General features: G+C 47.4%; 1 protein-coding gene and 2 long non-coding RNA genes across 6 annotated transcripts in view, besides 1 other annotated feature; 1 reads left to right on the top strand and 2 right to left on the bottom strand.

Annotated features, from left to right (window-relative positions):
* CA12 (carbonic anhydrase 12) overlaps positions 1–23,112 on the top strand; it is a 60,469-nt gene extending 37,357 nt beyond the window's left edge. For 3 of the 4 annotated variants that reach the window (NR_135511.2, NM_001293642.2, NM_206925.3), the window contains 6 exons: positions 2,393–2,488; positions 3,707–3,770; positions 4,045–4,202; positions 5,545–5,671; positions 17,257–17,341; positions 18,133–23,112. Coding sequence is in view for 3 of the 4 variants with exons in the window: in NM_001293642.2 (NP_001280571.1) it covers positions 2,393–2,488; positions 3,707–3,770; positions 4,045–4,202; positions 5,545–5,671; positions 17,257–17,341; positions 18,133–18,205 (603 nt within the window). In the remaining variant the exon portion in view is untranslated. Of the gene's footprint in view, positions 1–2,392; positions 2,489–3,706; positions 3,771–4,044; positions 4,203–5,544; positions 5,672–16,359; positions 16,393–17,256; positions 17,342–18,132 lie in introns of all 4 variants that reach the window. The other variant, NM_001218.5, reaches the window with a different exon arrangement.
* Positions 80–26,502, bottom strand: LOC124903506 (uncharacterized). Its single transcript, XR_007064676.1, has 3 exons — positions 25,736–26,502; positions 2,569–2,676; positions 80–352 (listed from the first exon to the last, which is right to left on the bottom strand). It is a non-coding gene; the product is annotated as an uncharacterized LOC124903506 (long non-coding RNA).
* Positions 5,365–6,261: an enhancer, noted in NCBI's record as "H3K4me1 hESC enhancer chr15:63630428-63631324 (GRCh37/hg19 assembly coordinates)". NCBI's record gives its function as "activates a minimal SCP1, AML or CMV promoter by ChIP-STARR-seq in primed H9 embryonic stem cells {active_cell/tissue: H9 hESC(primed)}" and the evidence as "EXISTENCE:reporter gene assay evidence [ECO:0000049][PMID:30033119]".
* Positions 22,094–24,784, bottom strand: LOC124903505 (uncharacterized). The gene is made up of 2 exons (XR_007064675.1): positions 23,460–24,784; positions 22,094–23,353 (listed from the first exon to the last, which is right to left on the bottom strand). It is a non-coding gene; the product is annotated as an uncharacterized LOC124903505 (long non-coding RNA).

The following is a 26,502-nucleotide window of genomic DNA, read 5'->3' as shown; positions in this document are numbered from 1 at the left end:
GGCTAATTGCAGTGTTGAGACTTCTGCTTCCCCCATGGGGAATAAAGAAGGTGTAAACCAAAAAGTGTCTGAGACTCAATCCATTTAGAAGTTTATTTTGCCAAGGTTAAGGACACATGCCCGGGAGACAGGGAGACAAGTCTGTGCCTTTCTACAAAGATGATTTTGAGGGCTTCAATATTTAAAGGGGAAAGGGCAGACACTGGGGAAAGAGGGAGAAATGTTTAAAAGGTGTGGGGAGGTAAGAGGCAAGAGGTCGCATTCTTCTGAGTTTTTGATCAGCCGTTCACATGTGAGAGAGGGGTAGAGGAATAGTCACTTGTGCATTCATCTAGCTCAGCGAATCTGCATTCTTACAAAATAAAACAGACATGGGCAGAGGAAGCAATTAGAAATGCATTTGTCTCAGGTGAGCAGAGGGATGACTTTGAGTTCTATCCTTTGTCCTGAACCCATGAAGATAAGTTATCCATTTACATTGTCACGGTGAAATTCAACAGAACTGTTTTAGGGTAAAGACCTTGCGGCCCACAGTGAATTTCCTAGTGGGCAAAATGTGAGGTGTGTTGCTTTTTTATCTTTGTAGCCGTCTTATTTAGGAATAGAATGGGAGGCAGCTCCCAGCTTGACTTTTCTCTTTGGCTTAGTGATTTGGGGGTCTCGAGATTTATTTTCCTTTCACAAAGGAGGTTAGGGTGTAGATTGGCAGGGTTTATGTGTTTTAAAATATTTCTACTTCTTGTATTTTCTGCTATTAAGTCACAGCATCAGACCAAGAGTCTGGTTAAGATGGACCATAAATGCCAATACTAGAGAAAAGGCATCAGGGTGTCCCTAAAGTGGGTCCTCTAAGGAAGGACCTTGGAAGTGTAGTGGTTCTTTGGGATGGAGTTCATATAAGAAGATTCTGGTGGGGCATGTTGGCTCACACCTATAATCCCAGCACTTTGGGAGGCTGAGACGGGTGGATCACCGGAGGTCAGGAGTTCGAGACCAGCCTGACCAACATGGTGAAACCCCATCTCTACTAAAAATGCAAAATTAGCCGGGCTTGGTGGCACATGCCTGTAATCCTAGCTACTCGGGAGGCTGAGGCAGGGGAATCGCTTGAACCTGGGAGGCGGAGGTTGCGGTGAGCCAAGATCACGCCATTGCACTCCAGCCTGGGCAACAAGAGCGAAACTCCATTAAAAAAAAAAAAAAAAAAAAAGATTCTTTCTATCTTAATCTCCTCAACAGGGAGCTCCTTTATGCTTGGATTAGTCTTCACTTCCTCTGAGCACAATAAGAAAAGTACAGACAAACCACAAGCTCAAAGGTCAGCTGTAAAAGGAAATAGGGGCTTAGGACCTCAGGGGTTTTAATCATATAGAATTCAGCTCTGTTTCTCAAAGTGATGCCAGGCCGAGATGGTGTGGGCAGTGTGGCAGACTAAGTCCTTTGAGGGGAAGATGGTGAAGTAGGAGCTCTGAAGAAATCCTTAATAGAGGACCACTTAAAAGAAGAAATAATTTGATATATAATTTTTTTTAAGTTAGAAGGAGCCACTTAAAGTTCGAAATGGGAAAATTAAGCTGTATTCAATAACATATGTTGAACTGTATTTATAAACACATGAGATGGAAAAGGATGAATGAAAAGAGAAAAGAAATAGAGTTAAAATCTCAATATGTCATAGTCTCAAGGACAAAGAACCAGCAAAAATGCATGGGTTGTGTAAACCAAAAATAAATTCTAAGCCCCCCACCCCACCCACCTGCCATCTGAATGGACCTCTCCTCTTGACCAAGGGCATTCCAAAGTTAACATGAAAACTAGTTCAGGCCATGATGGGAAGAGGGAGTTGGACATGACCCATTATACCCTCCTCCCTTTTGGAATTTAGGAAAAGCCCACATTCATTAACATCAACACAGACCTTAGGTCTGATCAGAAATATTTACAGTCTATTCTCTCTGAAGCCTGCTACTTGTATTCTTCCTCTGCATGATAAAATCTTGGTCTCTACAACCCCTTATTGGAACCCAGACATTCCTTTCTATTGATGATAACTCTCAACCGATTGCCAGTCAGAAAAAAGTTAAATCTACCTATGTCCTGGAAGCCTCCAATTTGAGTTTTCCTGCCCTTCCAGATCAAACCAGTGTATCTTGTACGTATTGATTGATGTATTATGTCTCTAAAATGTATCAAAACAAGCCATGCCCTGACCACCTTGGGCACATGTCCTTATCCTTGGCAAAATAAGGGGAGGGTCTGAGAGACCTAACCTAGTCTGGGGGGCTGAGGGGGCTGGGGTTCTGTCCTCACAGTTGGAGTCAAGTCTTCTGCAGAAGCGACAGGCTCCCATGAGTCGCTTATCTCCTAATGGGTGGCTTCTCCCCCACTGCAGCTGCACATTGTCCATTATAACTCAGACCTTTATCCTGACGCCAGCACTGCCAGCAACAAGTCAGAAGGCCTCGCTGTCCTGGCTGTTCTCATTGAGGTAAGAGATATTTAAAAGGTTCTTAGGTGAAATTTGAAGCAGGGATGAGATTGGGATTCCACCTTTTGTTCCATGCATACCTGTTGATAATCAGCTGTTCCTGTATCGACTCCGTGTCAACTCCAGAGCAGGGGGTATCCTCCTGTAGTGCACCTTCTCTCTTGGCCTGGAGGCAGCACTTTCTGTGCCTGGGCAGCAGAAATGGGGAATGTTCTTTGGTCCGTTGGAAAAACGGGCCCCAACATCTAGCCCTGTTGCATAAGGCATGGAATTGCCCAGTTGGGGAGGACCTGTGCTGGAAAGGGATCATCAAACTCCATCTGCCCCATCAGATGCCTGAACTCTTGATACAACTCCTGCCATCCAAGCTCCTCTAGATCCAAGGGACCTCTAGATCAGTGGTCCCCAACCTTTTTGGCACCAGGGACCAGTTTCATAGAAGACAATTTTTCCACGGACCATGGACCAGGGAGGGAGATGGTTTTGGGATGAAACTGTTCCACCTCAGATCATCAAGCATTAGTTAGATTCCGTAAGGAATACACAGCCTAGATCCCTTGCATGCGCAGTTCACAATAGGGCTTGTGCTCCTATGAGAATGGGAGGCCTCTGCTGATTTGACAGGGGGCGGAGCTCAGGCTGTAATGCTTGCTTGCCCGCTGCTCACCTCCTGCTGTGCGGCCCAGTTCCTAACAGGCCACAGACCGGTACTGGTCCACAGCCTGGGGGCTGGGCACCCCTGCTCTATATGTACCCTGGAATGAATTCTTTTTTTATCCCAAGATAGAGGAATGTCTTCTGATTGGCTTGCATGTTTTTTTTTCCTAATGAGGCTGTATGTACCTCATTTCCCAACATGCTCATTTGTCTGACGTGGCTTTTGTGAACTCAGAGCTCCTTAAGTTCTGTGTGACATGGATGTTAGTCAAAGCCTTCAGGCTCATATCTGGATCATCAAGAGCACACACGGTACCCTATGCCCCAGGACATTCAAGCCCAACTCCTTAAGCTGAAAACAGGACGTCCTGAGATGCAAGAGGCAGGACCATTACACTAACTCCCAAGAGCCTAGTGATCCATCATAATTGTCCAGTAAAGTGGATCCTTCAGGCAGTGGTGGCAACATACCCACAGCTTTGCCCTTCTGATAGCAATCGTCAATCCTGGCTCAGCCTATCCTGTTCTGTCCCAGTTTAACCTGCCCTGTCTCTGTTGCAGATGGGCTCCTTCAATCCGTCCTATGACAAGATCTTCAGTCACCTTCAACATGTAAAGTACAAAGGTGAGGGGTCCTTGCATGCATATTCACTCTCTGCTGGAGAAGGAGGTAGTCAGCCCTGTGTGACTTTAAGAAAAGCAAACACAAGGGGCAGGTGCTGTCTGTGTTCACCAGGTTAAGAGCAGCAGGTTGTTGAACAATGTTGCAACCAGGTCCTGGGGTTAGATGACCCTGAAAGGGGCTAGTTCATGTTTCTAGGCTCAGTCGCTCTGTTCAGCTGCACTTATGCCCTACGGAGGGAGGCTGACACTATCACCTCTGCAACATGTCTCTCTAGGCCAGGAAGCATTCGTCCCGGGATTCAACATTGAAGAGCTGCTTCCGGAGAGGACCGCTGAATATTACCGCTACCGGGGGTCCCTGACCACACCCCCTTGCAACCCCACTGTGCTCTGGACAGTTTTCCGAAACCCCGTGCAAATTTCCCAGGAGCAGGTAACTGTCGTGCCAGACTCAGCCAGAGTCCACGCGGCACCTCAGTCCCCATCATCCTCCATATCACAATCAATGACTTGATTTCCTCATTTAGTTTCATTGGCAGCTCTTCAAAACCTCTCCAAATATCACAGGTGTCTGAAAGCACCGCAGAAATTCCAGGCTGAGCTTCAAAAGAAGTCAAGCTAGGCAAATGAATAGATGTCTCCTAGTTCTTTTTTAAAAAAAAGAGCTCTAAATCTGCATTTGCTAATATATCCTCAGTGGCTGGGTGGTATTCACTTCCCAGGCAGGAGAGAGCCTGGTTCCTTTACAGGGCAGAATAAAGACAGGATCAGATGAAATCATTTAAGAGATGGGATTGCAGCAATGACTAAGTGAGGGTCCCTGCCCCCAAGAAGCTCAAGGTCTAGTGCAAACTGGGGAACAAAATCCTTAGCCATCACCTCTAAAGCTTCTTATTTGATAGGAGATGAGAGAGAAGAGTAGAAGTCTGTGGGATCACCCGCGGGTTAGTGACAAAGCTGAGACCCAAAGTTAGGTCATCTGAGTTCCATGTCACTGCTCATACCTGTCCTCCACAGCCTAAATTCATGAGAAGAAAAATGGCTCCCCAGGAGACGGGGCTGGGGCCAGCACTACACCCTGGCTCACAGCCCCACGCCAGCTTCATGCGTCCAGGGCAGCCTCACAGCTGCTCCTCTTTACAGTAAGCTTCTGCTCTGAGTCACCTGGTAAATGGCAGCAGGTGGGTGGACAGGAATGAGGACATGATGAACCAAGAGATGGATGAAACATGTGGGGAAGCAGCAACATCCTACCTCAGAAACTGCCTTGGGAAAGGGTTATATAATCTATGCAGGTGCATGAAAATGCCATGGAACCCGCAATCAGATGGCCTGTGAAACTCTTAACTCCCTCCTTTATTCCTTCTGATATGACCATCAGAACAAGCCCTGCGACCCTCTGGTTGAGAGCTGGCCTCTAATTTAAGTTCATGAGAGGAACTCAGTCTCTGTGGAGGTTAAGGAGCACTCCATCACCCCAGGTTTCCCTCCACGCAGGGCAGATTCCAGGTATAATTGGAAACTAACAGCACTGCCTTTCCCTGAAGTCTCGGGTGCTGGGAAGATAAACCCAGCGCTGCCCAGCTCCCACTCACCCACTGTGGAGGGAAGCAGTTCTGTGGCTTTCCCTCTGCTTTCTAATATCTCCCACCCGGCCCCACAGAAGCTGGTTCCAGAGGCTTCTCCCAGGTGCAAGAGCGGAGAGCTAGCCTCTTCCCAGGGGATCAGGTGAGGAGGTCATTCTGCCTGCGGGCTATTTCTGCTCTTGCCCTCAGCTGCTGGCTTTGGAGACAGCCCTGTACTGCACACACATGGACGACCCTTCCCCCAGAGAAATGATCAACAACTTCCGGCAGGTCCAGAAGTTCGATGAGAGGCTGGTATACACCTCCTTCTCCCAAGGTGAGGAGAGGCAGTGCTGGGGGGAGGGGGTGCGGGAGTGTGGTGCCAAGACATTGGGATCTTCTGTGAATGCAGCTCTGGCACTGATGCCCTCAAGAAGTTGGCTGAGAGCTCCCTGGCTGCCACGGGAACCAGGCGCCTTGTGAGACTAGGTGTGGGGCTCACTGGGGTCCCCCCTTCAGTGAGTCTTTGCAGAGAAGCAAAAAGCCGAGGCCCCCAGGCACATGGACCAGAGCACTCTTTAAGCCTGGGAGTCTTGCACAGATGGGTAAGAGAGAATTCCCTGGGGACTTCTCTGTTCCAGACAATGATCCCTTCTCTAAGACACAGGATAGGACCCTTTCCATGAGATCAGACTTCTAACTTCCCTCCCTAGGCTTTCTTGGCATCAAAGGCTGCAGCCAGCCTATCTTAGGCCTGGCCAGGTGATTCATGCACCACCACCAAATGAGCAAGAATGTTCCTATGTTAGATGTAAAACAGTGAGTGTAACCCACAACCATGTCTAATGTAGCAGGGCCTGTTAGGCAAGGAAGCACCCTTGTGCACTGCATTTTTGTCTAACCTCCTTGGAGCTTGCATAAGCACAAGCACATAAGTTCCCAATTGAACAAAACTTAATAGCTTGGTTTCTTCCTAATGCTACAAGGGCTCGGGTCTCCCTTTCACAGCTGTAACCAATAACTCCCCAGTAGAACATTAACCGTTTTCCTTGCTCAGTGCCTACATCAACACTGCTGGAAACTGGGCATCAGGGGAAAGGGGTGAGGGAGCACTTTTGGGGCCCACACCCCTCTTCAGACCTCTGAGTTCACTTTCAAGCTCACTTTCTTACTGTAGATTCTCGACTGCTTCCCAGCTTGGGAATCTTCATGGCTGGTCTGTGCAGTTCCATTTCATCCCCAGCATCACGTGTGGACCAAACCGGGCCTGGCGTTCATATTTAAAGATAACCCGTTCTCACCTGCAATCCCAGCACTTTGGGAGGCCAAGGCAAGCGGATCACCTGAGGTCAGGAGTTCAAGTCCAGCCTGACCAACATGGTGAAACCCCATCTCTACTAAAAATACAAAAATTAGCCGGGCACGGTGTCTTGCCTCCTTTGGGAGGCCGAGGTGGGTGGATCATGAGGTCAGGATTTCGAGACCAGCCGGACCAACATGGTGAAACCACGTCTCTACTAAAAATACAAAAATTAGCCGGGCGTGGTGGCACATGCCTGTAATCCCAGCTACTCAAGAGGCTGAGGCAGGAGAATCGCTTGAACCCAGGAGGCAGAGGTTGCAATGAGCCGAGATCACACCACTGCACTCTAGCCTGGGTGACAGGGCGAGACTCCGTCTCAAAAAAAAACCAAAAAACAAAAACAAAAGAAACCCGTTAACCCACTTGTCAGAATCTGCTCTCCTCGTCTCACCTGGTGCACTTTTTTGGGTTCCTTTCTTATTATATGAGGTTATAACGATCACCTCCTAAACTTAGTTGAACATATGGAGACTGTATTTGAAGGCCCTTTCCAGGAAGCTTTAGAAACTGACCCATCCTTACGGTCAGGATTACATCATTCTCTGTCTTTTCATGAAGAACTGCCCAAGAATTTGTCTTTTGTGTTTTCTCCTCTCCAGGTACAACTAATTAAGATCATTTCCCTCTTTCCTCAGTTTCTCAGTTGGAAAACAGAATCTGTGAACAGTAGCCTTCCTGAAAATTCAAAATCCATGTGATGATAACTAACAGTTTCTTTTCTAGGAAATGAACTGAGTGCATGGAATGTATCTGTTATGGATACAACGCTGTCTTTTCTCATTCTTCTAAGTGGAGAATGTAGTATCCAAGGGTTAAATGGAACTACTTCAACTCTTAAAACCAAAAACATAAAAACTCTGCCAGGAGATTAGGAACTTTGCCCACATAGATCAGATAGAATTTTGCTCGCGATCCCAGGACCCCATTGCCGGCTCTGTTCTCTGAGCTCACCTATGCACACCCAGGGAAGGGGTGGCACATATTCTCCTTACAGTCAGGAGGCCTAGGTTCAAGGCCTGGCTTTGCTTCCTCCTGGCTGCAGGCTGTGGACAAATCGTGTCCCTTCTTCAGGCCTTGGTTTCCTCAGCCACAAAATGCCAGGTAATCCCAGCTACTCAGGAAGCTGAGGCAGGAGAATCGCTTGAACCCGGGAGGTGGAGGTTGCAGTGAGCCAAGATCATGCCACTGCACTCCAGCCTGGGTGACAGAGTGAGACTCTGTCTCAAAAAAAAAAAAAAAAAAAAAAAAAGCCAGGTTGGATTAGGTGATCTCATGTCCTTTCGGTGCTAATATGTTGTGATGGTTAAGTGGACACTAACAACTGCCAATCCTGACTTTACATTGCAGGGACAGTGTTTGAGGGCAGTTACAGAGGATCAGAAGAAACCGGGCAGGAGCTTGACTCTGACATCCAAAAGTAACCCCCGCTTGTAACGATGGACTATGGCATTGGGGATAATTAGCCATCTTCTTAGACCGGCTTGTGTCTAAGCAGCTGCTTGTAGTGGGGCAGCGTAGGCAGGTTTTTAGCCAAGCGCTTCAGTAGATTCTCCCAGTCTGGATAGGGGAGCTTGAGGGGCCTCTAAGCAGAAGTCTGGAGACCATCTCCCAGCTTAGGACGTCAAGATCAAAGCCCAAATGCAGCGTTGCCACTGCTCTTCCTCCACGGTTTGCCCAGAGCTGGTGCTTCCACAAGCCCAGGTTGGGACCAGCTTTCTCCTCTGAGTGAGACTCTGTGGCAGTCCAAGGAAAACCTGTCCATCTGGAGGCTGATTATAGAAGCTTGGCCAGAATTCTCCTCCCCTCCCTTTCACTTCCCAAAGACACAGGCAGCAAGTGCGGCTGCTTCCCAAGGAGCAATGAGGAGGCAGTCCCAAAGGGGTGAAGGCCCAAACCTCATCTGCCCAGGGGGCTGCATTCACGAGGCCTTTCTTACCCAGCTCGGAGCAGGCCTCAGACTGTAACATGATGTTTCAGGTTTACGGTGTGAGACTTTGTCAGTGTGAACCTTGAGCAGTTTGGACTCAAATTGTAGCCTCATCCACTGAGGCATGTTTGTAATTAGGGTCTGGCTTACTCAGGGCTTTCTCTGGAAGTTAACAAGAACTACAGAGTCAGAAAATTCTGCCAGGAGAAAAGTGATGTTTAAAAAATCATCTAGGATGGCCGGGTGTGGTGGCTCATGCTTGTAATCCCAGCACTTTGGGAGGCTGAGGTGGGAGGATCACATTAGCCCAAGAGTTTGAGGCTGCAGTGAGCCATGATCACACCACTGCACTCCAGCTTGGGTGACAGAGTGAGACCCTGTCTCTTAAATAATTAAAATTTAAAAATTAAAAAAAAATTCCCTATGAGAGAAAGTACATGGACTTTGGGGAAGGATCTGAAGTTTAGCCAGGTTGGGACAATTTGGACCGAATCATTTAACTTAACCCTGCTATTTTCCTCAACTGTGCTTAGAAAAGGGGTACAGGACCTGATTTCTGTCCTTAAGAGGTTTATAGTCCAGCTACACCTTAGCCTGGGGGCAGAGTTTCTCAACCTTAGCACTACTGACAACTTAGGCAGGATAATTCTTACAGTGGGGGGTGTCCTGTGTGTTGTAGCATTGGCAGCACCGTTGGTCTCTACCCAGTAGATGCCAGTTGCCCCTCCCCAGTTTTAACAGGCAAAACTGTTTCCAGACATTGCCAACTCTGTGCAGGCAGGAGGGGCAAGTTTTCCCCTGATGGAAAACCACTGCCCCAGGGTTTCTGCGGCCCAGAACTCATTGTTTTCACTGATGTCATAGGAGTCTGGAGTTTTATATCACATGCCCTGGTCTTCATTGTTTTATGGCATGAACATTTCAGTGTGATGATGGTTATCCCTGAAACAGTAAGGCTGAAGTTACTGAGGCAGAACAAACCAACCCAAGAGAGACCTTGTTCCCCATCTTCCTTTAGAATTCAAGTATAGATTCTTTTTTATATGATTGGGTAAGACCAAGAGACGTAGCGTGAGAGAGAACTGTGCACCCTTAGGAGTGTACAAATCCTTTATCAGGGGTGCAGATGCCTCTGAAGTAGCAACTTCTTCAGGATCCCCCCTTTATTCTTTTTCTCTCTCCCTTTTGTATGAGTTTTTCTCTCTTGTATGTTATGTTTCTTGTTGCCTTTAGTTAAAACGTCCACTCTTTATGGAAAAGTGAAAGTCATGTCAGGCACTTTTTTCCATTCTTAAAAAGTGCCTCTTCCATTGGCTGGGTGTGGCTCATGCCTGTAATCCCAGCATTTTGGGAGGCCAAGGCAGGTGGATCACCTGAGGTTGGGAGTTCGAGACCAGCCTGGCCAACATGGTGAAACCCCCTCTCTACTTAAAAAAAAAAAAATCAGCCAGGCATGGTGGTGCATGCCAGTAGTCCCATCTACTGTGGAGGCTGAGGCAGGAGAATCACTTGAACCCAGAAGGCAGAGGTTGCAGTGAGCCAAGATTGCACCAGTGCACTCCAGCCTGGGCGACAGAGTGATACTCCATCTGAAAAAAAAAAAAAAAAAAAAAAAAAAAAAAAGTGCCTCTTCCAAGTGGCAGTTGGAAGATTTGAGCTGAAGGAGAAAGCAAGACTCGTCCTCAAGGTGGGCCCCTGGGAGGGGACACGTCCTCAGGCCAGTTCGGGTTTCAAGTCAGGTGCTCTTAGTGGGAAAGGGGAAAGACGGCAGAGGCAGGGGGACATCACAGGGGCTCAGGCTTAGGGCTTTGGCCTGGTTCTTGGTTCCTTTGAGTTCACCTCCTCCTAGCCAGTGGCACCAACACTGGGCCCAGATGCTGGGTAATGAAGCAAGAGCCCATCAGACAAAAATGCTAACACCATCTAGCCCTGTGCTCAACATGTCAGGGCCATGGAAACTTGAGGGACAAAAGGAAGCCAAGAAGTTTCTATAATCACATCATTAGTGGGCTTGCTCTAAGCAACTGCATGTCACCCACCAGAGCAGCTATGGCACACTCAGACAAGGGTGCCAGGCAGCAAACCGCAAGGGCAAATCTATAGTCCTGCAATTAGGATCTGCTTAAGCCTAGACCTGGGCAATTTTATGAAACCTTAAAAGGAGGGAGAAGGAAATCAGACATGGCTAAGATGGCTAATTATCTAATTTTTTGAGGCTAGAATGCATGTGTTATCATTATTGACCTTGTATTTCTTAAAGTTTCCATTTATAAGTAAAAGCTATTAGCTGAAAGAATATCATCGATTCTCCCAAAGGATCCAAATGATTAGCCAGCATCATTTCCACCTTCAGTCGCTGGTCTGGGTCAGAGGCCGAACAGTCAGGAGCATTGGTCCAAGGTGCTAAGAAGTGAGGTCCTAGTGCCTTTCACACACCACATGTTTCCCGAGCACAGTCCGAGTTATGCGCTATGGGGGACAGAAAACCCCATGGTGGGTGTCATCTTGCTCTTAAACACAGCCCGTGGCACAGGGCAGACTATGTTCAGGAAAGACAATGGGAAAAGGGGCTGGGCAGACGGCTGGACCCACCCTTGGTGATGGGGCCCTAGCCGATCCTTCCACATCATCTCCCCACAGCCCCATCCCTGCCCTCTTAGCCTCAGCCCCCAAAACTGTAGGGCAGATGCTTTCAAGTACACACACTTGATGTCTGGGATGCCCCCTCCCTCCTCCATCTGGAAAATTCTTTCAAGACCCAACTCTAATCACGTCCTCCTGGAAGTCCTCCCCATCCCTCTAAAGGTGACTTAATCTCCCTCAGTGCAGCCAGAACCACGTCTCCATCTCTGTTATGTTACTTGACACACCATAGAGTAATTATTACCACACAGCAAAGACGAATAGAAAAAGAACAATACGTACATATTATACACATACTACAAGCTCCTTAAGGCCAGGGATGACTGACGTGTTACTCATTTTTATGCCTGGCATGGTGCCTGGTGCTCAATATAAGCTTGTTGAAAGAATGTCCCTGACCCATCTCCAGTTCCCTCCCCTCCTCAGTGTCTTCTCTGCAGAATGATTTACACATAAGCCTGGCCAGTTGTCACCTTTTCGTTTTATTGTCTTGTTTTTCTGTGGTCTCCATTTGCTAACAATGTTAAAAATCAACCATTTGTTTAAGAGAGATTAACGATCAGAACTTAGCTGTCAGTTTTGAAGGTCTGGGAGGAAGTTGCCTAGAGATGCTGTTGTGCCTTCTGTAGCTCTGGCTTGATAGGGATCAAAGGCCCCCGTCCCACCACCCATTCTTTCCCCAGGGACAGTGAAGACAGCTTAGAGTGCCAAGCACCAAGTGCCAGCATTGTAACCTGCCCCTGAGGCTCTGGGATTTAGGCCCTTCAGAGCAACGTGCTGTCTGCAGGGGCTGCATTCCTGTAATCTACAGGCAAAGCCCTCAGTCCCATCATAGCTGTATAAAACCAGTTCCCCCATGTAATCTGGTACTATCTTGTTGGCAGATTTCTTTGTAGCAATTCTTGTTTTGGGTTGCATAGCGTTCATAAGGAAAACTCCGCAGTTAAATATGTCCTCTGAAGATGGCTCCACTCTGTGGTGAGGGCATCTTCCTTGTCTTGGCAAAGCATCATCTGAAGATAGCACTGGATTTGCAGTTTCTTGACTCTCTGATTTTTTATTAGGTGTAATAATAAGGGGCTTTTTACCTTCCTAACAGATTTTGTGTATTTAAACTATCAAACCCCTGATAAATCTAAACTCTCTGACCTCTTTTACAAGGCTGGAGACGGCTAAGGATATCGCTACGTAACATGCCATCTATGTAAACAGTGTGTACTTTAAAATAATACTTGAAAAGGATTATAGTCCACAGTCAAACAGAATCGTAAATAGAGCTAGAAAATACTAGACTGTTGTTCCAGGAACCTCCAGATGTGAAAGTGAGGTGCTTGTTCCTCGTGCTGGACTCTTCTGTGTTTATGCTTGAGGCTTCAGAAGACCTCAAAAGCCCTTAACCAGCATCCCTCAGTCCAGCAAGATGCCGGTGGAAGACGCAGCTCCTGGGCCTGCCAGAACAGGTAGCAAGGCCCTTGTGGCAAGCAGCTCACCGACCTTCTCCGGGTGTCTGTACCTTCCTGGGCAAGGTGTGTGACCATCGAGTTCTTCTATATCTGTGTGGTTTCCTTGTGTGTGTCACACTGCCGTCTCTCTGCTCGCCCTGAGTCATACCCGAGCACTTTGTGAACAGGCGGCTCTCCCACGTCCTCATGGTGTGCACCCTCTTACCAGCCAGCCCCAGAGCTCCTTCTGTTGGGCTGCCACTCGATGCCTCTCGTGGGCCACCTCTGTGACCTAGCCTGTCTCCATTTCTACTGTCTGTCCCATTGTTCTTCCGTGGGAATCGCCTCCCTTCTTTCCTATTCAGAAACAAACCATTTCTTTAACCTGAAAGTGAATTTCTCTAGTTCTGCCCCTCCCTGTACCATCTTTGATGCCTGTTCTCTACAGTGCCTAGAGGCTTCGCTCTCACCCAGCCGAGGCTCTGCTGGGAAACAGGCTTTGGCTTCGCACTCAGGTTCTAGTTCTCTGGTTGCCCTGACAGTTCTCCCTGTGTCCCGAAAGTCTCGCTGACTTTCTCTCTCCCATCAGATAACAGATGTTTTGGCATCTGCCTCCAATGGGACTCAAGCCCATTTCTGCAAAGAAGCTGAGCCTCCATGATGGTTGGTGCTGTCTCGATTGGCAGGGACAGCATTCCAACAACACCTTCCTGCCCTGGGCTTCCTGAGGTGGTGGAACTATCGGGTGACACCCTCGCCGGCATTCCTCTTCCTTAACAGCTTATGATGTTGGCTCAGTCAAGCTGCTTCGTTTTTGCTGTATCAAAGTCTTGGCTGAAAAGTATCTGTCCCAGTCTCTGGGCCTTTCTTTGTCTTCATGCCTGTTTGGTCTCATTTCGTTGTTTCCAAGGAGAGTCCATTTAGGCCTTGACAAGTGGTCCTCAAGGAGCAAAGATCCCAGGTCACAGCACTGGGTTCAACTATGCTGTTGCTTACAGGACCTCCAACAGGAACCCCGCGTAATAACCGGGGGAAGCCAGACTCTCCCTCCAGAGAAGCCACCACGCAGGGCATGTGCCCTGAGAAAAGCCCCACCCTTGCTGGGGCCTTGCTCTCCATAGACTTTGCTCAGCTCCCCAAGACCAGGCATGAAGGGTACCCCCACCAGCCACAGACTGGGCTGCTCAGTGGTCTGGGGCCTGTGTGACTCTCAGAATGTTTGAGGTGACTGTGAAAGAGATGACTTTAGAAACCATCCAGCCTGGATGGCTTAGCCAGGTGGTAAGGCTTCCTAGTAATAGTCTTCAGGTGGCGAGAACTGGTTTGGCACCACAAGCATCTGGAGCTTCAGGAACAAAGAACGAGAGTGTATTTCATCAAAGGGTTGGGAAGAAAAACCATGGCTAGGTTTATTATGTTTGTTTTTTTAAGATTCCAGGGACCATGGTCTCTGGTTACATTTAAAAAAGAAACAACCAACCCTAATACCAAGTTCCACTGTGCAGAGGCCACAGGCCCTGCAGGAAACAGAGCTTGTGCTGTACAAACACTGGAAGCTCCCTCCAGGTGGAGACTCATGTCCTCAGTACCTCCCCAAGCCACAGGCTGGTCCTTGTGTTCAGGTTACACGAAGAGGCCTGGGGCAGGGAGTCTGGCCAGTGGAGCCACTCTGCCACTTGGGAGGTCATGAGCAGCTGGTGGTGGTGAGCAGAGTAGGGAGAATAGGCTTCCCTGTCCTTGGGGACAGCTCTTCTCCCTGCCTGCTCTGCTAACCCTCACAGCAGCCCGGTGCCACCTGGGGAAGCCAGACCAGGAACCCCCAGGGCCCAGCCTTGGACCAGGGAGGCTCTGCAGGTTCAATGTGAGATTGCAGAAAAAGACAATCGGAAAAGCACACGGCTGATGGCTCCTGGGGAATCAGCTAGACTTGGGCCATACGACAGGAGAAGGGGCAGTGAGCAAAACCTCACCCTGCAGCCTCAGATCTGGTTCCCCAGGCTGTTAAGGGCCCCAAGGGAGAGTCCTTGGCCCCCTGCTGGCATCTTACACTTGACCAGGGCTCTCCCAGGGCCTCAGCCACCACTGTGGGTTCTATGGGCACAGGATCTTCTGTGTCAGGCTGGGTGGCCACCATCTGTACAACTGTGGCTCCCAGTGTGAGTTAGAACAAATACCCCTTCTTCCTCCAAGACACACACACATGCTAGAAGTTTCCATTGAGATGAGAAAACCACCAGACAGAAGGGTACCTGTAAATCTACACTTTCTTTAGACAAAGGACCTGATTAGGAGAATGGGGAATGGCTGTGGGAACCTTGGAAAAAACAGGCTGAGGGTTTTCAGGGGAGACTTCATGACTGGGATCCTCTGCTCACTCAAGACAATGGATTCTCATGTGATTTTCCCCCCAGGAGGTGGCTAGTAGGCTGACTGTGAGACTTAGGTAGCTGGGCACGGGTTCAGCCACACTGAGGACTTCTCTCTCACCTTATTTATCCTCAACAGTAACTTGCTGGTTGAAGCCGTAATACCCTGGTTCCATGGAGCAGAGAAGTGGGGCTGATGTGGTGAAGGCGTTTGTCCAGGAGGGACAAAGCAAAAATAGAACCAAACCATGATGACAAGCTGATGGGCTGGGGGAGAAGTCTGGTGATGGATTCCTTGCTTAGGAAGTGAGGCAGGTACCAGGGACATGGACAGGAGCCTGCCCAAGCAGGCTTTGATCCCTACCTTTCTTCATCTTTCCTCTTTGGCCATGTTGTATTAAAAACTGAAATCTTGGCTGGGCGCCGTGGCTCACACCTGTAATCCCCATAGTTTGGGAGGCCGAGGCAGGTGGATCACTTGAGATCAGGAGTTCGAGACCAGCCTGGTCAACATGGCAAAACCCCATCTCTACTAAAAATACAAAAATTAGCCAAGCGTTGTGGTGCACGCCTGCAGTCCCAGCTGCTCGGGAGGCTGAGGCATGAGAATTGCTTGAACCCAGGAGGTGGAGGTTGCAGTGAGCCAAGATTGTGCCACTGCACTCCAGCATGTGTGACAGAGCGAGACTCTGTCTCAAAAAAAACACAAACAAACAAACAAACAAAAACTCAAGTGAAGTCTTGCCCTAGCCAGGAAACTGTTGTGATAAAGGAGCATCGGGGCCGGGCGCAGGGGCTCACGCCTATAATCCCAACACTTTGGAAGGCCAAGGCAGGTGGATAATGAGGTCAGGAGTTCAAGACCAGCCTGGCCAAGATGGTGAAACCCTGTCTCTACTAAAAATCCAAAAATTAGCTGGGTGTGGTGGCAGGTGCTTGTAATCCCAGCTACTTGGGAGACTGAGGCAGAGAATTGCTTGAACCCAGGAGGCGGAGGTTGAAGTGAGCCAAGATCGCACCACTGCATTCCAGCCTGGGCGGCAGAGCGAGATTCCATCTCAAAAAAAAAAAAAAAAGGAGCATCGGAAGGAGGGATTGCAGTATGAATTCCCTAGATGGGCAATTTCCTGTACTTCATCAGGCAATCCCTGAGCCAAGGGTGGACATCCCTAGAGGTCTGTCAGCCTAAGACCAAACAAATGGTAGAGCGTCTCTCAACACGCTGCTCAAATCCAGTGTGGTTTGACTCTAGAGTAACCTCGTCTTTTCCTCTCCCCTTTTAAGTGCAAGTCTGTACTGCGGCAGGACTGAGTCTGGGTATGTGGCTGGGCAGCCAGCCGTGCATGCTGCAGCTGGGTGATCACTGTGATTCTTGGTGTGATCCAAGCCCGTCCTCTCTGCTTCTCTGTACTATTGCTCTGGCTCCTGGCCCTCTCCTTGCTATGGGTCTTACCCTCAAGTCGCTCTGTGATTCAAAGATGAACTGCCAATCAAATGTTCCTCTAATGAAAGATCCAATCACTCTACAGCATGTGTGTATTCAAAGAACCTATCTAAGACTTTCTTTTGGTCATGGTGGGAGGCTGTTGCTGAAAACATACCAGAGCCCATTGTGGAGGTCAGCTGACAGGCCGCATGACCTTGGCAATGGACTACTGGTCATCTGGGACTGCTTAGGACTGTGCAATGGAACTTGGGGGCAAAACTGATGGAGACAGCCAATGGGCCTTAAATCCAGCAGGCAAAGACAGAGTAAGTTCTTATTTGTGTAGCCCAGGGCTTATCAAAGTGTGGTTCTTGGACCACGTGCATCAGTATCAGCTGTAAGTATTTGGCAAAATGCAGATTCCCGGGCCCTGCACCAAACAGATTGACTTTGAATCTCTGGGGGTTGGGCTAAAAAAAAAAAAAAAACCCTACATTTTAAACAAGCTCTTCAGATGACCCTTGTGTAAGTTTGAGAGCATCTGCTGGAAAACCACTAGAATTTGCAAACGGCCACCTCAAAATACTCCAGCCAGTCCCACTAAGCCAAAGACCAGAATCTGAGAACAGGGATGGGGAAATTATTCCTTTCTGTGGATGATTATGCAGCTGGGCCATGATTTCACACCCGGGGGCCATGGGCTAAGATGGAGGGGAAGGAAGGAATGTAATGTGTGCCCTCTACCTCTTCACCAGGCATCATCCTCTCACTGGCCCTGGCTGGCATTCTTGGCATCTGTATTGTGGTGGTGGTGTCCATTTGGCTTTTCAGAAGGAAGAGGTGAGCTGGTTTGGGTCCAAAATGGGAATGGACAGCTATGTGTCCATGATGATTAGTCTGCCTGGGAAGGCAGCTTTGTGGCATGAAGAGCCGCAGTCACCTGGACCACCACTTACCCTAGGAGGGCCGTCCCCAAAGCACCCGTGCCCTGGCCTCCTTTGCATGAGACGCACATGTGACCCTGGTCGTTCAAAGGGTTCAGGGGTCACTGTGCTCAGATTTGGAAGCGTGTGTGCCTTGCTTGCTGCTATTGCATGGCCTTGGACGAGTCTCTTGACTTGGGGCTTGTGCCTGAAGTTAAGCAGCCAGGCTGTCTTCTTATCAAGATCTTTACATATGCTTTTTGGTCTATGAATTCAAAAAGAAAGATGAAGGAAAACCTGATCTCTCACTCACATTAACTCTTCATGCCCTTTGTCCATGTTTTTATTGTGACATTTGGCTTTTCCTAAAACCTAATTTATTTGGGGGGGGTATGAAAAATAAAAAGGTTTCTGGGAACCCTGTTATGGAATCAGAGGTTTGAAGAGGGGGGTGACAACGAGACCTCTTTCAAAATATAGGTCTACTACTGTTAGGTGTGAAAGAGAACAGTTGGAAAACGAACAAGTTCTGTTTTTGTTAAAGCTTTATTTGGTGACACTCCCTCCCAAGACCAACAGAATTGGGGAAAGGTCCCAAAGAGAGGAATCCAACTTTTAAAAACGGCCTCATTCCATACCTGAGTCAGGCTGCTCTCTGGCTCGCTCGCTCTCCTCTCTAACAAGAGTTATGTGTTCTTTCTGTTCTAGTATCAAAAAAGGTGATAACAAGGGAGTCATTTACAAGCCAGCCACCAAGATGGAGACTGAGGCCCACGCTTGAGGTCCCCGGAGCTCCCGGGCACATCCAGGAAGGACCTTGCTTTGGACCCTACACACTTCGGCTCTCTGGACACTTGCGACACCTCAAGGTGTTCTCTGTAGCTCAATCTGCAAACATGCCAGGCCTCAGGGATCCTCTGCTGGGTGCCTCCTTGCCTTGGGACCATGGCCACCCCAGAGCCATCCGATCGATGGATGGGATGCACTCTCAGACCAAGCAGCAGGAATTCAAAGCTGCTTGCTGTAACTGTGTGAGATTGTGAAGTGGTCTGAATTCTGGAATCACAAACCAAGCCATGCTGGTGGGCCATTAATGGTTGGAAAACACTTTCATCCGGGGCTTTGCCAGAGCGTGCTTTCAAGTGTCCTGGAAATTCTGCTGCTTCTCCAAGCTTTCAGACAAGAATGTGCACTCTCTGCTTAGGTTTTGCTTGGGAAACTCAACTTCTTTCCTCTGGAGACGGGGCATCTCCCTCTGATTTCCTTCTGCTATGACAAAACCTTTAATCTGCACCTTACAACTCGGGGACAAATGGGGACAGGAAGGATCAAGTTGTAGAGAGAAAAAGAAAACAAGAGATATACATTGTGATATATTAGGGACACTTTCACAGTCCTGTCCTCTGGATCACAGACACTGCACAGACCTTAGGGAATGGCAGGTTCAAGTTCCACTTCTTGGTGGGGATGAGAAGGGAGAGAGAGCTAGAGGGACAAAGAGAATGAGAAGACATGGATGATCTGGGAGAGTCTCACTTTGGAATCAGAATTGGAATCACATTCTGTTTATCAAGCCATAATGTAAGGACAGAATAATACAATATTAAGTCCAAATCCAACCTCCTGTCAGTGGAGCAGTTATGTTTTATACTCTACAGATTTTACAAATAATGAGGCTGTTCCTTGAAAATGTGTTGTTGCTGTGTCCTGGAGGAGACATGAGTTCCGAGATGACCCAATCTGCCTTTGAATCTGGAGGAAATAGGCAGAAACAAAATGACTGTAGAACTTATTCTCTGTAGGCCAAATTTCATTTCAGCCACTTCTGCAGGATCCCTACTGCCAACCTGGAATGGAGACTTTTATCTACTTCTCTCTCTCTGAAGATGTCAAATCGTGGTTTAGATCAAATATATTTCAAGCTATAAAAGCAGGAGGTTATCTGTGCAGGGGGCTGGCATCATGTATTTAGGGGCAAGTAATAATGGAATGCTACTAAGATACTCCATATTCTTCCCCGAATCACACAGACAGTTTCTGACAGGCGCAACTCCTCCATTTTCCTCCCGCAGGTGAGAACCCTGTGGAGATGAGTCAGTGCCATGACTGAGAAGGAACCGACCCCTAGTTGAGAGCACCTTGCAGTTCCCCGAGAACTTTCTGATTCACAGTCTCATTTTGACAGCATGAAATGTCCTCTTGAAGCATAGCTTTTTAAATATCTTTTTCCTTCTACTCCTCCCTCTGACTCTAAGAATTCTCTCTTCTGGAATCGCTTGAACCCAGGAGGCGGAGGTTGCAGTAAGCCAAGGTCATGCCACTGCACTCTAGCCTGGGTGACAGAGCGAGACTCCATCTCAAAAAAAAAAAAAAAAAAATTATTCTGTACCATCACAACTTTTCACAACGATGGCAAGCCTTATGTCTTGGGAGCCTGTTTTGCTAGGCAAAGTTACAAGTGACCTAATGGGAGCTCAAATGTGTGTGTGTCTCTCTGTGTGTTTGTGTGTGTGTGTGCACTCAAGACCTCTAACAGCCTCGAAGCCTGGGGTGGCATCCCGGCCTTGCCATTAGCATGCCTCATGCATCATCAGATGACAAGGACAACCCTCATGACGAAGCAACATGAATTAGGGGGCCTCTTGGCCTTGGTCCAAAATTGTCAATCAGAAATGAACATAAAGGACTCCAGAGCAGTGGGACTGTCTGTCAAAAGACTCTGTATATCTTTTGTGGATGAGTTTTGTGAGAGAACAGAGAGACCATTGTACCTGGCACAAGGGCTGTTCATGAAAAGGGAGACTTACTGGGAGGTGCAAGACAGTGGCATTTCTCCTCTCCTCTTGCTGCTCAGCACAGCCCTGGATTGCAGCCCCGAGGCTGAGACCAGACAAAGCCCGGGAGGCAGAAAGATGCTCCAAGAACCAACACTATCAATGTCTTTGCAAATCCTCACAGGATTCCTGTGGGTCCAGCTTTGGAACTGGGAAACCTTTCTTCGGATCCGCACTCATTCCACTGATGCCAGCTGCCCCTGAAGGATGCCAGTACTGTGGTGTGTGAGTCTCAGCAGCCGCCCACACGCTCCTAACTCTGCTGCATGGCAGATGCCTAGGTGGAAATAGCAAAAACAAGGCCCAGGCTGGGGCCAGGGCCAGAGGGGAAGGCCCTGGATTCTCACTCATGTGAGATCTTGAATCTCTTTCTTTGTTCTGTTTGTTTAGTTAGTATCATCTGGTAAAATAGTTAAAAAACAACAAAAAACTCTGTATCTGTTTCTAGCATGTGCTGCATTGACTCTATTAATCACATTTCAAATTCACCCTACATTCCTCTCCTCTTCACTAGCCTCTCTGAAGGTGTCCTGGCCAGCCCTGGAGAAGCACTGGTGTCTGCAGCACCCCTCAGTTCCTGTGCCTCAGCCCACAGGCCACTGTGATAATGGTCTGTTTAGCACTTCTGTATTTATTGTAAGAATGATTATAATGAAGATACACACTGTAACTACAAGAAATTATAAATGTTTTTCACATCAGGCTGTTCTTTTTTTTTTTTTGGAGGCGAGGTTAAAGCATTACTATTTGCAAAGCACTCTGTAGCTCCCTGTTATGGGGATAGGTAACTAATCAGAATAATAATGTCACTCGCATCCACTTCTTAGAACCTGGCTCCAAAGGAAAATAAGCTGATAGACTCAATCACTTTCCTGAGGATGGAGGCCTATGGCATGTGTGGCTGCAGGTCGCGAAGCTGCTTAATGGTGCTGGGAAGCCTAGAGGAATTAAATAAAGACCCTGGAGGAGGTGGGATCGGAGCTGCACCTTGAACAAATAGCTCAGATTTGAACAGATGGATGGAAAAGAGGGAGGTGTTCCCAACCAAGGGGACATGATACAGGGAACAGGTCCTATGTCTCTTTACTCCTGAGAGTATTAAACCTAGTAGGTGGGCAGCCCCTCTTGGTTGCCTGTTACCTTATTTTGAATTCTTTTTGCAAAACATACTATCACCCGTCCAAATAATCTTTTGTCTAAATCCAGACTTCACATTCTGACTGGGGCAAAAAGAGGCAGTCCAGTAAAGGTTATAAAATAGGTACCATCATTGTTTGCCTTATTTAGAAAAGCATCCAATTTTCACTATAATCACCCTAAGCCTGAGAGAGGTGAACTGTTCAAGGGTACTTTGGCTCCAGTGGGTGACAGTACCTGGCCCAGCTTTGGAATTGAAACATTTCTGATGGTCTGTACTCTGCTAGAACACAGGATGCTTCTGCTCTCCCTGCTCTGGCATCCTGCCAGGTGTCATGGCCACGCACAGGCATGAAGACAGCCGGGAAGCCAGAGTTCCCACGAAGCACTCACTCCTTGGACTTGCTCCCACCCCACTGGGGAGAGCACTCCTGGAGCAGGAAATGAGCATCTCTCATCTCCCTGAATTCCACATCCACTGGCTGAATGATCAGGGAGGCATAGCAGTGAGAGCCATAGGTCGGCAGAGGGAACTCAGGCCCTCCTTTAGGATGGCCATCACCTCATCTCAATCCAGCCAAATCAACCATCTAGAGCACACAGGCCGAGAGAAATGTAATAAAATATAACATGAGACACGTATGAAATTTAAACTTTCCGGTAGCCACACTAGAAAAAGGTAAAAAAAAAAAAACCAGTGACATTAATTTAAATTTAATTTTAGATAATCCAACAGATCTAAAATACTATCATTTCCACATGTAACCAGTATTTTCATGTGTTTTTTTCTGCAGTAAATCTTTGAAATCTGGTGTGTGTTTTACACTGACAGCACACTCGATTCAGATGCTAGATTTTCCTTGTAGATATTTGGTCGTTATTTAGATTTCATAAAATTTACAGTTTAAAAGATTCCAATATCCGAGTTGCTCCAAACACACTTAGAAGTTGTTTTCCAAATAATGGAATCAATGATCGGCTTTTAGATGTAAACTTATTAAAATAAAGTAGCGTTTCTCAGTTAAGTCACATTCCAAGCGCTCAAGATCCATGCCCTGCGCAGACCCGGACGACGAACCCGACTTTCAGAGACTGAGGGTTCTGCCTAGAGAGCTCCCACAGAAATCAGCCCGAGAAGAAAGCCTTGTGGGTGAAGCCAGGGAGGGAGACAGGAGGGCAGGAGGAAAATCAAGCCTAAATGAGCACATCGTGGACGCCGCTCTTCCTCTCCCCACATCTCCTCGCCTCGCCGCAGTGGGCCCGGCTGTGCCCCAGGTCCCCGCGGTCGGGAGTGAATGGCGCTCGGGTGGCAGGCACGTGGGCACCTGGTGAACTGCAGGACCCTGGCACCGCCACCCCCTCGCCCCTACACACACAGGAGTGCCCCTCCCGTTGTCACGTGGCCTTCCTGCTGGGTATCTGGAGCAGTTGCAGCCTCGCTTCCGGAAGGAAACGGGGCCTCTGGGGCACAGGGACCACCTGCCAGTGCGTTCCAGCCGGGCTGCCATCCACACTGGAGACCGCCCCGCACGTGGTCCTCGGGCTCGGATTCAGCTGTCGCAGGATGTGAGGGGAAAGGTATGTGGCCCGACAATGCCACCGAGGGTGTCCCCGGGCTCCACCCCGTGCCTCTTCATTATAGAATGACTGGGCAGAGATAAGGGCCAGATTACTTTGCTGTATTGAATAATTCACCATAAAAATGATTGCAACCAGGTCAGCGTATCATGATGACTGCAAGCCACCCAGGAATTCGGCAATGCCTCTGGCTCTTGACCGCCCTAAGTCCCCTTCACTCCATTGCACAACCCAGGGTCAGGCGCAGGATTGCCCCTAGCCTCCAAGTGGGAAAGAGGAGGTGGCTCTGGCTAAGCCAAGCTCCCAGAGCTCCCACAGCCCTCGGATTTTTAGTGACAGTGCTAGGGCCACACTCCACAGCCCCAGTGACATGGAAACACCTTCTGGTTGTAGAGTTTACCGTGCTTATCCCAATCACGTGGCATGGAAACACCTTCTGGTCTTAGAGTTTACCGTGCTTATCCCAATCACGTGGCATGGAAACACCTTCTGGTTGTAGAGTTTACCGTGCTTATCCCAATCACGTGGCATGGAAACACCTTCTGGTCTTAGAGTTTACCGTGCTTATCCCAATCACGTGGCATGGAAACACCTTCTGGTCTTAGAGTTTACCGTGCTTATCCCAATCACGTGGCATGGAAACACCTTCTGGTCTTAGAGTTTACCGTGCTTATCCCAATCACGTGGCATGGAAACACCTTCTGGTTGTAGAGTTTACCGTGCTTATCCCAATCACGTGGCATGGAAACACCTTCTGGTCTTAGAGTTTACCGTGCTTATCCCAATCACGTGGCATGGAAACACCTTCTGGTCGTAGAGTTTACCGTGCTTATCCCAATCACGCGGTGACCTTGTAAAACCCCAGGGGCTAAAGGCACTAAAAGCATTTGTACTAATGACTTCCAAAAAGTCAACCACAACCTCCCACCTGCAATCTGCTTGGTAGCTCTAATCCCTGGCCTCCACTCAGGTGAAGCCTGACCAAGGACTGCCAACTGCATTTGGGCAGAAGGGTCTACTGAGCTCTTGAGATGTTACCTTCACCTGTTAATTCAGCAAACCAAGTTCCCGAGGACACGTTCACAAGCTTTCCCTTTTCCTAAGGCTGAACTGGAGAGAAGGAATAAACACACACACACACACACACTCACAGAGACACACACAAAATAGTGTGTCTCTCTATATAGTGCATATATATATATATATATATATACATATAGTCACACACCGCTTAACAATGTATCCCTTAACAACAGGGATACATTCTGGGAAATTCATCATTAGATTTCATCGTCGTGTGAACAAACCTGCATAGTACAGCCTGCTACACACCTAGGCTAGATGGTACAGCCTATTGCTCCTAGGCTACAAAGCTGTACAACATGTTACTGTACTGAATACTATAGGCCATTGTAACACAATGGTATTGGTGTATCTAAACATAGAAAAATTACAGTAAAAATGTTATAAAGATTAAAAATGGTCCACCATGAATGGAGCTTGCAGGACTGGAAGTTGCTCTGGGTGAGTGAGTGAGTGGAGGGAGTATGAGGCCTAGGACATTACTATACACTACTGTAGACTCTAAAAAATGCTGTACACTTATGCTACACATTGATTGAAAACTTTTCTTTCTTCAATAATAAATTTACTCTAACATTTTTACTTCATAAACTTTCAATTTTTTTAACTTTTGGACTCTTATAATAGCACCTAGCTTTAAACAAACATACTGTACAGCCGTACAAGTTATTTTCTGTCTTTATATCCTTTTTCTATAAGCCTTTAAATTTTTTTTTAAACTTTTTTGTTTAAAACTAAGACACAAATATGCATATTAGCCTAGGCCTACACAGGGTCAGGATCATCAGTATCACTGTCTTCCACCTCCACATCTTGTCCCACTGGAAGGTCTTCAGGGACAATAACATGCACGGAGCTGTCATCTATGAATAGCAACGCCTTCTGGAATACCTCCTGAAGGACCTGCGTGAGGCTGTTTTAGGGTTAACTTTTTTTTTCTAAGTAGGAATACACTCTAAAATACCAATAAAAAGTACAGTGTAGTAAATTCATAAACCATAACAGAGTCGTTTTAGCATATAAAAGTATATAGCATATACAATTATGCTATATAATTGTACAGCATATACATTTATAGTATATAACATAATTGTATATGCTATATACTTTTATATAACTGGCAGTGTGGTAGGTTTGTTTACATCAGCATCACCACAAACATCTGAGTAACGCACTGCACTAGGATTTTACGATGGCTATGATGTAACTAGGCAATAGGAATTTTTCAGCTTCATTATAATCTATGGGAACACTGTTGTATATGCCATACATCATTGACTAAAATGTTATGTGGCACATGACTGTATTCCATTTAATACAAATTTCTTAATGCTGTACAGTCTAATGACAGAAAGCAGATCAGTGCTAATGACAGAAAGCAGATTGCCTCACCTAGGGATGAGGTGGGGTGGGGAATGGAGGGATTACAAAAGTGTATAAGAAATGGTTAAGGTGATCCATATGTTCATTATCTTGATTGCAGTGATGGTTTCTCCACATATGTGAACATGATTCTAATGTTATATTTTAAATATGTGCCATTTATCTTATGTCAATTATACCTCAAAAAATCTGTTAAAAAAAAAAAAAAAAAAAGAAGTCCCTCCCACCACCACCTCCATCCCACACACAGCCAAACGATACTCAGTCCCATCCTGGAATTTCCACTGAGAGCTTACCTCCTCCTGGTCCCTCTAGAGAAGAAGCTCAGCAAAGGCTGGTCTAATGCACCTTCCTGGGCTCCCACCCATAGGGCGAGTCCATACTTCCCTTGGACTCGCCCTGTGGGTGGGAGGCCAGAAAGGAGCATGCTCTATTCGCATGGTTGGCTATGACCTCTCAGTATTGTAAGTCAAAGTCATTATTTCTGCTTGGGTTCACTCATTTCAAATATTAACTTTTAATGACCAGCAATGAAGACAACAAAACACAGGGCCCATGGGGTCAAGGGCAGACTGAGACCTATATAGCAACTTTGTTGATGATGACATAGTCAAATGGCTTTCTCTGGAAGAAGCAAAGAACTTTCTAGTGACATAGGTAACATAACCAGTTCCTTCATATGCTGAAACTAGTTTCCGAAGCTACCTGGATATCCAACAACAGATCTCATGCATCTAGTGTCTCCCCTCAACCACTCAACACATAACCATTTGAAAAGTGTTCCTGAATATGGTACATCCTTTCCATGGAGGAGCACACAGCCACTAAGCAGTGCAGCCCAGGAGCTTATCACTCCTTTTTAATCAATGGACAAAATCTGGATTAACCCCCTTCTATTATTCAAACTAACTTCCAACTAACTTTTTCTCATACCTCCTTATTCAAAAGTAAAGATTTAATGAACTACTCCTGTCTGCTAAACACAGATTAAGTGGTCGGGATTCAAGCATAATTTAGATACAACGACTGAATTACTGGAAAAGAGGAAAGAAAAAAAGGGGGC

Source organism: Homo sapiens, chromosome 15 (assembly GCF_000001405.40).
Source record: "Homo sapiens chromosome 15, GRCh38.p14 Primary Assembly".
Taxonomy (NCBI): Eukaryota; Metazoa; Chordata; class Mammalia; order Primates; family Hominidae; genus Homo; species Homo sapiens.
The sequence above is the reverse complement of the archived record's forward strand: the minus strand, read 5'-3'. Positions and strand labels throughout refer to the sequence as shown.